Source organism: Homo sapiens, chromosome 16, assembly GCF_000001405.40.
Source record: "Homo sapiens chromosome 16, GRCh38.p14 Primary Assembly".
Lineage (NCBI taxonomy): Eukaryota > Metazoa > Chordata > Mammalia > Primates > Hominidae > Homo > Homo sapiens.
The window spans coordinates 50,288,526-50,303,615 of record NC_000016.10 but is presented as its reverse complement, the minus strand read 5'-3'; the positions used below and the strand labels follow the sequence as shown (position 1 = coordinate 50,303,615).

General features: G+C 58.5%; 1 protein-coding gene and 1 non-coding gene across 34 annotated transcripts in view; both read right to left on the bottom strand.

The window, feature by feature from the left end:
• Positions 1 to 15,090, bottom strand: part of ADCY7 (adenylate cyclase 7) — a 73,437-nt gene that overhangs the window by 14,520 nt on the left and 43,827 nt on the right. For 31 of the 33 annotated variants that reach the window (XM_047433551.1, XM_047433560.1, XM_047433552.1 and 28 more), the window contains exons 3-10: positions 12,956 to 13,159; positions 11,719 to 11,880; positions 10,791 to 10,940; positions 10,114 to 10,262; positions 8,865 to 8,976; positions 4,585 to 4,712; positions 2,743 to 2,901; positions 2,402 to 2,534 (exon numbers count right to left, since the gene is read on the bottom strand). In XM_047433551.1, the coding sequence (XP_047289507.1) occupies positions 2,402 to 2,534; positions 2,743 to 2,901; positions 4,585 to 4,712; positions 8,865 to 8,976; positions 10,114 to 10,262; positions 10,791 to 10,940; positions 11,719 to 11,880; positions 12,956 to 13,159 (1,197 nt within the window). The remainder of the gene's footprint in view (positions 1 to 2,401; positions 2,535 to 2,742; positions 2,902 to 4,584; positions 4,713 to 8,864; positions 8,977 to 10,113; positions 10,263 to 10,790; positions 10,941 to 11,718; positions 11,881 to 12,955; positions 13,160 to 15,090) is intronic. The other 2 variants (XM_017022896.1, XM_047433564.1) reach the window with 1 other exon arrangement.
• On the bottom strand, positions 10,941 to 11,000 carry MIR6771 (microRNA 6771). The gene has a single exon (NR_106829.1). It is a non-coding gene; the product is annotated as a microRNA 6771 (primary transcript).

Below are 15,090 nucleotides of genomic sequence, written 5' to 3'. Positions count from 1 at the left end.
CCCCACCCCGATCCAAGAACACATGCCTGAGGCCTTCGCCAGTTGGGGTGGCCAGACAGGACTGGAAAAGGGACAGGGAAGAGAAAGACCCACAAGGCCACCAGAGATGAGCTTAAGCGGGCTCCAGGTCTGCTGAGTCTCTCCTTAGCCCCTGAAACATTCCTCTGCCTCCGGAAGTCCTGTCTCCTAGGGCCCCACAAACACCCCATGGACAAGCCTCCACAGCTACAAGCACTCGATAAGCCACAGCGCAACTTTCCTGGAAACCTCTCACCTCCTTTTGGGATAGAAACATTTTTAAGCCCTTAGCTGCATCTATCTGCCTAGCCACGGGAGCCACGTGGAATTCAGCCTCGGTGAGTGTCCCAGAGCAGGAAGAGCGCGCTGGCCCTGTGGTGAGCAACCTGGTGGGGGTGGATGCGTTTCTCTGTCCCCTCCTCCATTGTGACAACTCTGCCTACACAGCACCTAGCCACTCAAGTTCAAGGTCACTGGCACTTAGCAGAGAATCCAGACACCCCAGCCCCCTGAGAAACAAATAAAAAGCAGAAACAAAAATCAGATTCCTCAGTTCTGAGCAAACACATGCCTACTCGGAATGGGCATGGCATTGGTATGAGCCCCACGGGGGCAGCTGCAGCCACCATCCAGTCCACAGGAGCCCACCTTGCCCCAGCCAGGCCACACAGCAATGGCGTAAGGCAGAGCCCATAGAAGCCAGTGCAGAAAATCCACCTCCATGTCAAAAACAGGAGCTACAGACGAGCACCCTGCACACAGGAGGGATGTCCCCAAGGTAGGAAAAATGCAGGGTGCGCGACCATGGGGCCCGCCACTGCCACCTTAGCAAGAAGGGTGGGGGGACTCGCAGTTCACTCGGTGTCCGTGAAAATCCCTGTGGAGGGAATACAAGAAACTCACTGCACAGGTCCCCTCTGAGATGTGCCGGCTGGGGACAAGGAGTCTTTCTACAACACGCCCTTCACACCTTTTGAACTTTCAACTGCGTGGATAAATGAAGTTAAACAAAAAAGAGGGTGGGGTAGGGTGGGGTGGGGGGAAGGTGGGGCCGCCAAATAAATACAACTGTCCAGTTGAGTACTGCGTGCAACACTTATGCGAAACATGATTTACAGTTATCTGAAATTCAAGTCGGCCCAGGCAGCCTGCAGTTTTCCCTGCTCAACCTGGCAGCCTGCGGGGGTGGATTTTGGAGCCTCCTGGGTGAGGAGCTCTGCTTCACTCATTCAAGGGCTATCTGAGCACTAGCTTCGAGCCGGGCATCCATCTCAGCACGGGGTGGGGGGCTGCAGCCTGGAGAGGAGGAGCCCCCCGGCATGGCACTCATGCTGACAACAGACAAGGAAAATGGATAAACAAGCAAGGGCATTAGGGACGGAGGGAGGAGTGTTTTGAGTGCAGGGACCTGCGGGTGCCACCACCCTGGTAGTGGAAGGGCAGGAGGAGACCAGGTGGGGTGAGGGGGACAGGAGAGCAGGGGAAGGGGCTTGGAGGGGCGGGGCCAGGGCCGGGGTACAGGGCGAGGATCAGGGCCCTATTCTAGGAGGGTGGTGGAATGGGACACAGGTACCGGCAGGGGTTTTCCCAGATGCTGGCTCAGTATGGATGGTGCAGCACTGGGGGTGCTGGGGGCAGAGTGAGGCCAGCAGATGTGTAGGGAGGCTCACAGGCCAGCCCTTGGTCCCCCAGGGTCTGGCAGTCGGGCCAGCCCCAAGGCATAGCGAGGACCAGAGTGAAAGGAGCCACTCGCTGGCTGGGCCGACATTCTTGAGCAAGCCTCATGGATGATTCACAGAGAAGTGGCCAGACGTGCCGGACTCCCTGAAGCAGGCCAGGGTCGGGCAGCAGACAGGCCAAGGCGGGCCCCACCTGGCCAGGGCAGTGGAACTGCCTCCTCCACCGTGGGGTCCTGGAGCCACCAGGGGACCTGCAGTCAGCACCCAGGACACTCAGAGGCTCCTGCCCAGTGGCTCCCAGGCCACTCCCTGCTTTCCTGAGTTTCATCCAAAGCTTGTTTTGAAAGTGTGTCTCTCGGAAATCTGGGAGATTAATAACCACCTCATGGAAAATAAACCAAGAGTGACGAGAATACATAGAATGCTGTGACGTGCCAGGCGCACTGTGAAGGCCTCGCTCGGATTAGCTCCTTCTGGTGAGGCAGGCGCTGTTTTCCCATCACATAGAAAAGAATGGAGGCCCAGGGAGTGGCTACTCGGTGCCTAGAATGTGCCTGGGAACAGGGAGCTCACTCCTGCCCAGGCAGGGCCCTTCCCCACCTCTCCCTCCACATGGGGGTTTCCTCCAAGGTGCGGGCCAGGCTCTCCAGGGCCCCTCCAGTCCCTCCGGGTCCCCCCCAGCTGCGGCCTCTGAGCCCTCGTACCCGGGGGTCGATGACCAGGTAGGTGCGGATGTTCATCTCCTTGAGGTAGGGGTCCCGCTGCTGCCCGTGCCCATCCTCCACCTCGTACGCCTTGTCCAGGTGCTTTAGCGTGGCCTCCGTGATGTGCACCCGGCTACGGGAGACCCAAGTCAGGCAGAGCCTTGGGGCCCAGAGAGGGCTGGCATCCACCCAGGGATGCACAGCAGGCAGGCCTGGGCCCCAGGCCAGCTTTTCTACATTCATCTCTCCCTCCACACCTGACCCCCACCCCCAACCGCAGAACCCTCCATCCACAGCCAGCCCCAGGCCTCTGTCCCTGCGGCTACCCAGCCCAGCCTCACCCGGGTACTCCGGCTGCCTCCATCCGGTTGGCCAGGGACACGTCGTGGGACCACACGTCATACTGCCACTTGCGCAGCCCGATGACCCCGCACAGCACATTCCCCGAGTGTATGCCCACACGCATGTTGATGTCCACGCCCGTGGCCTCCCGCACCTGCCTGGGGCAGAGTGGCCCAGTCACCCCAGCCCTGCCTAAGCCCTGGGACAGGCTGAAGCTCCCAGGTGTGGGGTGGGTACAGGGCAGCATGTGGGAACAGGGCAGGCGCTCAGCCCACGGGAGAGAATGTTCTCAGCCTGATGGGGCTGCCTCTTCAGGAAGAGCTGAGTGCCCCATCCCCAGGAGCATACAAGTAGGTGTGGCCACAGCTGACCTCAAGGACTAGGTAGGAGGGAGGAGGAATTCCAACTAGTCACTACAGCCCATGTTGATGGACCTAAAATACCATCACTGGGTGTTTTCCCTGCCCAGCAGCACCGGCTGGGTTTTAAAAGTTTACTGGGGGCCGGGCGTGGTGGCTCATGCCTGTAATCCCAGCACTGTGGGAGGCTGAGGCAGGCAGATCACCTGAGGTCAGGAGTTTTGAGACCACCCTGGCCAATATGGCAAAACCCTGACTCTACTAAAAATATAAAAATTAGCCGGGCATGGTAGCAGGCGCCTGTAGTCCCAGCTACTTGGGAGGCTGAGACAGGAGAATCGCTTGAACCCAGGAGGCAGAGGTTGTGGTGAACCGAGATACGCTCTGGGCAACACAGCGAGACTCCATCTCAAATAAATAAATAAATAAATAAAGTTTACTGGCGTCTACAGAGGGGGTCCAGGAACCACCCAAAACCTAGCATAGACAAGGAACACAGGGGCCCAGACCATGGGCACCTTCTATGCCCCCCCAATCCCTGGGAAGCAGGGGCCCTGGGAGTTGTTAGCACCACTGAGCACAGGAGCAGAGCCCCACGGGAGAGCTTCCTTGGGGCACAGGGGACGCCCAAGACAGGAACAGAGCCTGAGTCCCCATGACAAGCGGCACCACGTGTCCACCAACAAGGCTGGGCACTGACCAAGCCTTCCAGGGTCGGAACCAGAGGTGCACGAGGGCCTGTACAACCTCCGCCTGTTACAGGGCAGGGGCCAGCCTGAGGTCACACAGGCAGTGGTGCAGGCCAGGCCCCTCCAGCTCTGCCCAGGCTTCTTTCTGGCAACACCAGCCACCTATGGCAGGACTTCAGGAGAAGGACAGGCTGGAACACGGCCTGATATCCAGGACGGGCAGCCCCACCGGGCCCTGCTCTGCCCCACACTGGTCAGCCTGGCTGGGCCTGCCTGGCCCTCTCCCCATACAGCCCTCTCGGCAAATTCCTCCCACAGACCCCAGCTGCTCAGAGCCACAGGGGACCTAGAGGGGAGCGGGGGGTCTCCCCGCAGCCTCAGGACCAAGCCTGACTCCAGGATCTTCACTGGGGAGCAGGAAGCAGATGGAGCCTTGGAGTCGACCCCTGGGTCGGAAAGGTCCCCCGGCTGCCTACCCTGAAGCCTCCTGCTGTTGCTAAGACCCCATCCTTGAGGGGAGCGGAGCCCACCGCCCTGACCTCACATCACCCAGCTCTGAGCTCCGGAGATGCTTTCTGGGACTCAGAGTCACAGGCAGCACCACAGGGAGGGACGCAAACAGATGAAGTCTGAATCCTCCAGCAGGCTGGGTGGTCCAGGCAAGCTGCTTTCACCCCCAACCCCCCGAGCCTCAGTTTCCCCATCTGTGACATGAGAATGACACATCCCCTACCATGCCCAGGAGGGTCCGCCACAGGGCAGGACCCAGGGCCTGGGCCCGCCCAGGACCTACTTGATGGCCTGGCACATGTCCAGCCCCATCTTCACGCAGTTCCGGGCGTGGGTAGGCAGCGACACGGGCAGGCCCGATACACAGTAGTAGCAGTCGCCGAGGATCTTGATTCGCATGCACTCGTTGGCCTGCAGGGTGAGGGAAGGGCCTGGTCACTGGAAGATGTGGGGCTGGGACCTCTCACGACAGCCGCCTCCCCCCACCCTCCAGGGTGCACCCGGCTCTCTCCTGGCTGGGGGCTTGCCTCCTGGGGTCCAGTCACCAGGAGCCACTTCTGGGCCTGGCAAAAGGCTTAGCGACATGGGGGCCTCCCCAGGAGGAACCCCCAGGCAAGCACCAGAGGTGAACACGAGTGTTCCTAAGGGCCTCGGGGAGGGGTCTGCCTTGGTTTCATTTGCCCAGGTAATGTTTGAGTGCCTACTGAGTACCCGGCCCCAGGCCAGGCAAGGGGACACAGCAGTGAACAAAATAGATGCAAATCTCTGCAGCCACGGAGCTTGCACGTAGGCAGGAGGGGTGGGCACTAAACTAGAAAGACAAAAACAAAACAGTGTGCCCAGCTGTGATGGGGGCTAAGGAGAAAACCAAGGCACAGGAGGGAAGTGATGTTCCCAGGAGGCCAGCGAAGACCTCTCAGAGTTGGAATCAGAAACATTTGAGCTAAGACCCCGAGGAACCGAGAGAGCCGGCCATGCCAGTCTCTGCAGGAAGAGTACTCAAGGACTCACAGGAGCCCTGGGGCCACAAAGCTGGGGAAGAGACTGCGAGGTAGCCAGGAGGCTGCAGGAGTGGGGGGTGAGGACAGAGGTCACAGGTGTACACACCAAGGGATCAGCAGGTTTCAAGGTCACCCAAGCAGTGGCTGTGCTGACAGGGCTTAGGGGTGGGGAGGAAAGATATCAATGCAGAGAGGAAAGAGGGAATGGGGAGGGCAGAGTAGGAGAGCGGCGAGGGTGGGGACTCATAGGAAAAGGCCCAGGGAGAGAAGGGGACCCCCGAGAGCCCTCTGAGGTTCATCTGAGGCACTGCTGCGTCACCAGACCCTCCTTAAGCCCTCAGCAAGGGTGGCCACATGCACCGAGGCCTCATGGGTGGGGCTTTAGGGGAGCTGAAGAAGGAGCGCCATCTGCCTCTGCTCTCCCCTCCCCACCCTCTACCCCACTCAGCTGACCCTCGGACTGGACGCCCCAGCAGGTGGCCCTGTGCTCTGGCTTCTGGCCAGGAGGGAGCTAAGAGGGCTCTGTCCTGCAGGCTCACGAGGGCTAGGCCTGCTCCTGGAACACCATCTGTCTCCAGGACTCGAGCCTATCCTGTCCTCGTCCCTACTCTGTGCCCATCAGCCATCACAGACCCAGGCCCCAGACACAGCACCAGCCCTGCCTCCAGGTCCCCTGCACCTGCCCAGCCTGGGAACCATCCCTGGCCTGTGCCCTCCGCCAATTACTCAGTTTCAGCGTGTGCCAGATGTTTCCTGCTGGGCCCCATCTGGCACATGCTGAGTGAGTTCTGAGTGACTGCAAGGACAAGAGGACAGTGGCTTTCCTAGAAAGCAGGCAATCTTGGCAGACCTGGATACTAGGCTCCAGCTACCCTGATCTCCTCTCGGACCAGGCACAGGACTGCCCATGGACCCAGCCCAGCTCTCGGGGATGTAGGAGAGGCCACATTCCCCCGGCTGCTCCACCGGCTGACAGTCCCCTGTGTCTCTGACACTTGGAGTTGGGGAGCTGGGTCTTGTGCGGAGGTGTGACTTGTATGCCTCTGAGAGAGGAGGCCCTGGCTCTTGGAAAGAGCTTACACTTCTGGAATCTGATTGTTGATAGGAGAAAAGGCTGGGACCAGCCCTGCCCAACTCTGCCCAGAGATTAGATGCTCTGACTGGGAAGCTGGCACCTGCCATGGCCTCCCTTTCCCCATCTGTGCAATAGGGCCACGCCTCCTGGGCCTGCTGGAGAGGGAAGACTGTGTCCAAGGGCAAGGGACCCTCTGTGTGGGCTTTATGGTAAGGAAAGGGCCAGCTGTGGCCCGAGCCCAGGGCCCCTGCCTCACATGAGGCCCAACCTCTGGGGCTCCCAGCTGCTGGTTCAGAAGCCATGCAGATCCTGAAGGAAGGTTCCAGGCTAGACAGGCCCTCTGAGTCACTCAGTCCACAATCCCCAGGATGGGACAGTTTTCCAGAGCATCCCTGACCAGTGCAATCCTGTAGAAGCTTGGTTACCCCCTGCAACAGGGAGCCCACTTCCAGTCCCTCCTGGGATTGAGTAGCTCTGATCATGAAAAATTCTTCCCAGTGTGAAGTCATAACTTGCCTCCCATCAAGTTCTAGACCATTGATTCTCTGCCCACAGAGACACCTGCGGGGCTCTTACAAATTCTGGCCAGGCGCAGTGGCTCACACCTGTAATCCCAGCACTTTGAGAGGTCGAGGCAGGCGGATCACAAGGTCAGGAAATCAAGACCATCCTGGCTAACATGGTGAAACCCCGTCTCTACTAAAAATACAAAAAATTAGCCAGGCGTGGTGGCAGGCGCCTGTAGTCCCAGCTACTCAGGAGGGTGAGGCAGAATGGTGTGAACCCGGGAGGCGGAGCTTGCAGTGAGCAGAGATCACACCACTGCACTCCAGCCTGGGCAACAGAGCAAGACTCCGTCTCAAAAAAAAAAAAAAAATTCTGATGGGGCAGGGCATGATGGTGCATGCCTGTAATCCTAGCACTTTGGGAGGCTGAGGTGGGTGGATCACTTGAGCGTAGGAATTCAAGACCAGCCTAGACAATGTAGCAAAACCCCATCTCCACAAAATACAAAAAAATTAGCCTGGGGTTGTGGTGCACACCTGTAGTCACAGCTGCTCGGGAGGCTGAAGTGGGAGGACGCCTGAGCCCAGGCAGGTTGAGGCTGCTGTGAGCCATGATTATGCCATTGCACTTCACGCTAGGTGACAGAGCAAGACTCTGTCTCAAAAACAAAACAAAACAGAACTCTGATGGGTGTGGACATGGGCACTGGTGTTTTATTTAAGCTTTCCATGTGATTTGCATGTACAGCCAGGATAGGGAGCCACCACCTTAAATCTTACACTTCAGTCTCTATTTAATGGCCACCACTTCCAGGAAGCCTGCCCTGATCACCTGAGGCTGGGCTAGGTGCTCCCCAGGCTTCCTGGCCCCCACACTTCTCTTCTTCAAAGCACATACCATGTAGGCCCAAGGCCCCACCCAGACTCAGGGCCTGGCACTTACCCTCTCTCAGGACCATTTGGTCCATTAATGGAAATGTTGCTTGCCTTACCCCCTCCCTGCCTGGCACGTGTCGAGCTCCTCAGCATCCTGGTCCTCGCCTCAGCCCTCATGTCCTTGCATGTCAGACCTTGTGCCCTTGTCCCCCTCACACCTCACACGCACACTGAGCACGTTCACCCCATGGACACACGGGGCTTTCTTTCTACTCCAGGCTTTGTCTATGCTGTTCCCCCTGCTAAGAACACTGTTCCCTTTCCTCCTCAGATATTTTTTCAAGTATCTCAGACTTTAAGGTGGGCCAGGAGTGGTGGCCCACGGCTGTAATCCCAGCACTTGGGAGGCCAAGAGGGGATGATCACTTGAGGTCAGGAGTTCGAGACCAGCCTGGCCTACATGGCGAAACCCCATTGCTACAAAAAAAAAAAAAAAAAAAAAAAAAAAAAATTAGCCAGGCGTGGTGGTGCATGCCTGTAGTCCCAGCTACTCAGGAGGCTGAGGCATGAGAATCACTTGAGCCTGGCAGGTCGAGGCTGCAGTGAGCAGTGATGGCACCACTGCACTCCAGCCTTCATGACAGAATGAGACTCCATCTCACAAAAACAAACAAACAAAACGTAAAAGTTTAATGTGCACATGATTCACCTCAGATCCTGTGAAAAGCAGCTTCTGGGTGAGGCTGGGCATTCCACAGTCCTCCTGAGCTACCAGGTGAGTGGAGGCTGCTAGCCTTGCCAGTGAGGATGGAGCCATCTCCTCCTCCTGAGCCCCCATCTGAGCTCCAGAGCCCCAGTATATCGCCCAGTGTGCACTGTCAGTCTCCCCACTGGCCTGTCACTCTGGGGGCACAGGATCCTGGCTGCCGTGGCCACCACTCACCCCCACCTTTACCATGGGGCGCTTGTGTTTGCTGGCTGGATGCTAAAATTCAGCCACGCCTCCCCATCCCAATTCCAGCAGGGCACTGAACACAGGACACCCCTGGGGTGTAATAGGCAGGGGAGGGGCCTGGCTTTGCCCATTGTAGGCCAGCGGGCTCACCTTGGCGATCTGGTCGAACTTGCCAAAGAGCTCATTCAGCACCACCACCAGCTCCTTGGGAGAACAGTCGCTGGCCAGCTGCGTGAAGCCCACGATGTCCGCATAGAGGATGCTGGGGATGGGGCAGGGTGGGAGGGAGTGTCAGAGCCAGGCTCCTAGACAGCAGCAGCAGGAGCACGCAGGACTGTCTGGAGCCCCAGGAGCCTGCCAGGCCTGAGCCCATTCACCCCCGTCCTTCCTCAGCCTCCATAGGGATGGGAGAGTCGCGCCCAGCCATAGAGACAGATTAAAGTTCCAGGGGCTTCACGTTAAAGCAGAAGGGAGCAAAATTCAGAGCCTACAGGAGCCCTCGGCCCCACCCCAGGCCCTATCACTGCAGACAGCCGAAGGGCACTCCTGCAGGCAGCCCGGAGCCTTCCCCTTTCCCATCCAATGTTCACCACAGCACAGACTTCAGAACTCCCTGGTGAGAGGCAGCTCCATGCTCCCTCAAGCCAACCTCCACACCCAGCACTTTACAGGCATCGAGTCCTCACACAGCCCTTGCCGAACTCCCGTTCTACAGATGCACAAACTGAGGCTCCAGGACATTGAGACTTGCTGGGAAGCCAAGAGCTGGCATCTGCACCAGTTCTCCCTGCTCCAAAGTCCTTAAGCTCATGGACCATCCACAGCCCAGAGAAAAGGCAGCGGGCCAGCCTTGGATGTAATGCTGGCGCTGCAGGCAGAGGACCCAGGGGGTCTCCTGGGACCCACATCTACACTCAACGGCACCCAGCACCCACATCGACACTTGACAAACTCAGGTCAGTGCATTCAAGTAAAATTTTGTGGTTCCCTGCAAATCAGCCAAAGACAGGTGTCAGAACCGGGGCACTCTTGGGCACCAAGGCCGGGGGGCTTTACCTCATTCTGGGGGTCCTGTGCTCCCTTGAGAACCATCTGAAAGGACCCCTTCCTTCACAAAAGCTATGTTTGCTCACACAGTTTTACAGTTTTGGGGGTGTGCTAGATCTTTCAATACCAATCTAAATTCTCTAATTTAAGAGCCCTGATCTGATCCTGCCCACAAGTGGGGGTTCTGAGACCCAGGGAGGGCCCCAGATTGACCTGGAACCATGGGGCCCTCTCCCAATCCCTATATGGGCAGGGGTCTGAGCCTCCAGATAGGGCGGGGAGGCCGCCTGGGGGCCGGTGGAACGGTGGGCCCAGTCCCCGGGATATGCTAATCACACGTCTCACCGCCCACCTGACATTCTGGTGCCTCTTGACGTAGAGGCTGTGGAAGTTGTTGTCAGGCATGCAGCGACGGTCACCATGCTCCTTGAGCCGTTCGATGATGGCCAGCTTCATGCCCATGGAGATGTGGGCCGGAAGCACTGACAGCAGCAGGTTCTCCTGGGTGTGGGTGGGCAGACCAGCAGAGGGACCAGCAAAGCGACCGGCGGAGGGACCAGCGGGGGACAGGCAGGGTAGCATCAGGTCCCAGACCTGGCCTCCTTGGCCCCCATCCTCCCTGCCTGCCTGCCCTGCCCACAATGTCCCCATCTCTGCTCTTGTCCTCCACCAACCCAACTGAGCATCTACCTCCCATGTACCCAGCAGCCCCCGGGACTCAGGGTGACTGAGAAAGGGCTCTTTCAGCTGGGGAGGCTAAGCTGATGGGTGAGCAGCCTGGAGCCACTACGGCCTTCTCTGCCGCCACCTGGGGACTGCGTGCCCAGGACTGAAACCACACAGAGGAAGGCAGAGTCAAGGGTCAGCAGGCTATGGTTACCCTGCTGGAGCCCAGGACTCACCGAGGTGAGACCTGCATGGGTGTCTGGCCATGCACCTCATGCACATGGCAGCATGAGTGTCTCATGTCCAACAGAAAGAGGAAGAGGACAGGGGTGTACAGGGTGAGGAGTGGGGGCCGGGTCCCACCTGCTGGCGCTTCTCGATGCGCAGCTTCCGGCGGATCTGGATGCACTTCACAGTGTAGGTGAAGAGGTCCCGGGATGCATCCTGCATTTGGTGCTTGTGGAAGGCGCCTGTCAGGTTCCCACACAGGAAGATGACTGCGTTGGCCAGCAGCTGCGGGTAGACAGGGGTTTGGCTCATTATGTGGCCTGGCCCATGCCCTCCCGAGGCACCAGACCCCTAGGCGGACTAGTGATGGCACCTCTTCCCATTCCCTGACCTTCAACCCACTGAGAATGGCACTCTTCCTGGGGCAGACAGGGAAACTGAGGCCCAGACAGGAGCTAGTCTCCTAGTGAGTCACTAGGACTGCAAGACCAGGACACCCAGGGAGGCAGAAGAGACCACCTCACAGAGCCCAGGGCCCGAGGGGCATGCGTGCTAAGGGCAGTCCCAGAGGGCACAGCGCCCAGCTGGCTGTGTGGAGGGCCAGCCTCTGCCTGGAGAGGACACCAGGCCTGGTCAGAGGGAAAACACTTCTCTAAACACCCAATAATTATGAACAGAAGATTCACTCATTCAACACAAAGACACAAGGCAGTGCCCTGGGGTACTCCCCCAAGCCCCGCCAGGACAGGGCCTTCGAGGGGAAACTTCGGCAATGGGACTCACCCCACGACAGTGTCCCTGAACCGGGAGGCAAGGCCTGAGGTCACGACCCTGAGGGCTGAGCCACAGGGGAGCCCTAGGCCAGCAAAGCAAAGGCCAGAGGGCAGGGCCACGCCTGGAGCCCAGCTTCCGAGCAGACGTGGAGAGGGCCCGGCCTTGGAGCGGGCTGTCTGCAAACACGGCTCCGGGGCCTTCGGGTCTGATTCACCCAGAGGGGGCCCCCCCATCTGCCCTTAGACCCAGACCACAAAACCTCCCCCAGAGGCCTTAGCCCATCCCTCACCTGCAGCCCCACCCGGACACTGGGTGTCGTGAAGCCTCCCATCAAAGAACCGAGCACCAGGAGGTGGGAGGCAGTGGAGACGGCCCCAACGGCGACAGCGCCCCGCATGCTGAAGGGCAGTAGTGTGTACACCACGAAGACAATGAACAGGAAGAAGGGCACCTGTGGATGCAGCCTGGTGAGCCCGGTGCCCCAAGATGCTGCCCCAGGCCGTACAGCCCCCGGAACCCTGCACCACAGCAGCCCACCCAGTGCGTATCCTTAGGTTGGCTCCCTCGCCACCCCCTGCGTGGGCAGACATACAAGGGAACAAGAAAAGCCATAATGTGTTTCTAGGGTGGGCCCGGCCACAAGGTTCATGGTTTCCTGTGCTGATCCACTGCCTGTGGCCACCCTAGGTGGGAGGCTCCATGCCCCGCGTGATCCAGGGAGCCCCCACCTGGTGCCCCTGCCACGTGGTTCTCGCTCAGCAGAAATGATTACCGGGAGGCTGAGGCACCCTCTCACCAGCTGCCTCCAGCAATGCGGCCCCACCCGCCCTCCCTCCACCCCCAGAGCTGCCCCACCATCCCCACCGGCTGGTCCTGCGTCCACCCCTCTGGGAGTGCTGCCCTCTCCCTCCCCTTCAGTCCACATGGTTTCCTTGGGCCTCACCCCACCCTGCCCCAGCCACAGGAGCTGTCATAGGACCCAGGCCCACTGGTCAGAGTGTGCTACCGCTTGGTGACAGCCTCTCTGGGACTGGGCCCATGACCACAGCCAGGCCAGTGTGGCTCAAGCCTGCAGGTCGAGCTGGTTGAGAAAGGGCCCTCTCTCTCAACTGGGGTGGGCAGCCTGGAGCCGCTGTGAACTTCTCTGCCCCCACCTGGGGACAGCGTGCCCGGGGCCGAAGCTGTCCAGAGGCCCCAGTTCCAGTTACCCACTGGAGCCCAGCACTGACCCCTTGGCCTTTCCTGACACAGGAACCAGTTTGTGCCTTTTTGCCTCTTTGAGCTGAAGTTCTGTCATCTCCAACCAAACTGGAGCCACCCAAAAGTGCTGCAGCCCAGCGTCCGAGTGGATGCTCTCCCCACCTCAGCCCTGTCAATGCAGAGAACTCACAGGGACAAAACCAGCCTGGGGCCATCCTAGACACACAGCCAAGCGTGGGGCACGAAGGGCCTGTGGCATGCCCACCAACCACGGGGATGGGAGCTGCTGAAGGCGCAGCTGGCAGGGAGTCCAGAGTTCCTGTTACCTGCTCCCACGCACAGGCCGCCTTTGTCCATGCGTCGAACACCAGCACATAGCCCAGCGCCACCAAGCAGGCCCAGGTGAGCAGCGCCAAGGCCCTGAGCCAGCGCCGCAGGAGACACTCGACGTACATCAGCACAGAGAGGGCCGCAAACACCGCCAGCACCAGGAACGCCATGCCCAGAATGGCCTGGTGTCTGGAGGGGTCCTGGGTGGAGCAAACAGACAGGAATGCCTCGGCTTTCCCCAGTGCAGAGCCACCTCCTCCAGAAAGCCTGCCGGGCCGGCTGCCTCACTTACAGCTTCCTCCACGTGAAGGGTGTGGATGCACCCTCCCACACCTGGTTCCCACTCACCTTCTGGCCTTTGTCACCTCTGCCAAGGCTGCCTCAACCACCCCCTTCCCATCATCTCGGGAACCAGAGCATCACCCACAGCCCCGCCCATGATGCCATCACTCTCCATCTGCCTCTGCCTCCTCTCTGGGTTCCCACGGTGCTCTGTGCACAGCCGCAGGTGATACCACAAGCACAGGGCAGGACTCATTCACAGGCAGAGCCTTGTAAAGCCGCCCAAAGAGGACACTGCGCCTGGCCCTCAGTGAGTGAGCAGAGGCTGGTGAGGGATACCAGGAAAAGTCATCCCACAGGGGAGGAGCTGAGGCAATGGCACAGAGGTGGGACAGGACGGGCACAGCATCCGGGAGGTCCGTGGGGGCAGAGGCCTGATCTGGGGGCTGGCACACAGTAGCAAGCATCCTGTGGTTGGTAGCCACATGGATCCAGGCTGCACTGGCAGCTGCTAGGTCCTGGCCACTTCACTCACATAAACACCCTGGAGTTTCTGAGTGTTCTTCTAGAACTCAGCTAATCAAATTTACATTCACTAAAAAGAAAATGGGCTGGGCATGGTGGCTCACGCCTATAATCCCAGCACTTTGGGAGGCCGAGGCAGGTGGATCAGCTGAGGTCAGGAATTTGAGACCAGCCTGGCCAACATGGTGAAACCCTGTCTTTACTAAAAATACAAAAATTAGCCAGGCGTGGTGGCATGGGCCTGTAATCCCAGCTACTCGGGAGGCTGAGGCAGGAGAATCACTTGAACCTAGGAGGTGGAGGCTGCAGCGAGCCAAGTTGGTGCCATTGCACTCCAGCCTGGGCAATAAGAGCAAAACTCTTTTTTTTGAAAAATGCAGTTCCTCAGTCACATTACCCACTTTTTAAATGCTCAATAGCTAAACACAGCTAGTGGCTGTACCAAGGCAAGTGCCTGGGCCGGAAATGACATAGGTGGTGCCAGCCTGGAGAGCTGTGTTAAAAAGGATTCTGAGGCCGGGCACAGTGGTTCACACCTGTAATCCCAACACTTTGGGAGGCCAAGGCAGGAGGATTACTTGAGGCCAGGAGTTCAAGACCAGCCTGGGCAACATAGCGAGGCCATGTCTCTACAAAAACAAACAAACAAAAAAAAAACAAAAGGAGGATTCTGAGAATGTAGACAGGCTCAGTGTGGAATGTAGGGATTGATTAATGATGTCTGCATGGGTACAGGAAGTGAGGGCAGTGATACACAGGCCATCCCTGACCCAGGTCTTCAGTAGAATCGAATTTCATCATGGAGAAAAATGAGAGTAGTTTATCTGGACAAGTTAATGTAATGTCTGAAACCACTCCAGACTTCAAAACTGAATTAAAGTTAGAGAGGCTGGGCATGGTCGTGCATGCTTGTACTCCCAGCTACTCAGGAGGATAAGCCAGGATGATTACTTGAACCCAGGAGTTCAAGGCCAACCTGGGCAACAAAACAAGGCCCAGTCTCAAAAAAAATTTTTTTAAATTAGAAACTTGTCTTCTACCAGTCTAAATGTGCTGTAAAAGACAGAGCATTGGCCGGGCATGGTGGCTCACGTCTATAATCCCAGCACTTTGGGGGGCCGAAGCAGGTGGATCACCTGAGGTTGGGAGTTCGAGACCAGCCTGGCCAACATGGTGAAAGCCCATCTCTACTAAAAATACAAAAATTAGCTGGGCATGGTGGCATGCACCTGTCATCCTAGCTACTCGGAAGGCTGAGGCAGGAGAATTGCTTGAGCCCAGGAGATGGAGGTTGCAGTGAGCCGAGATCATGCCACTGTACTCC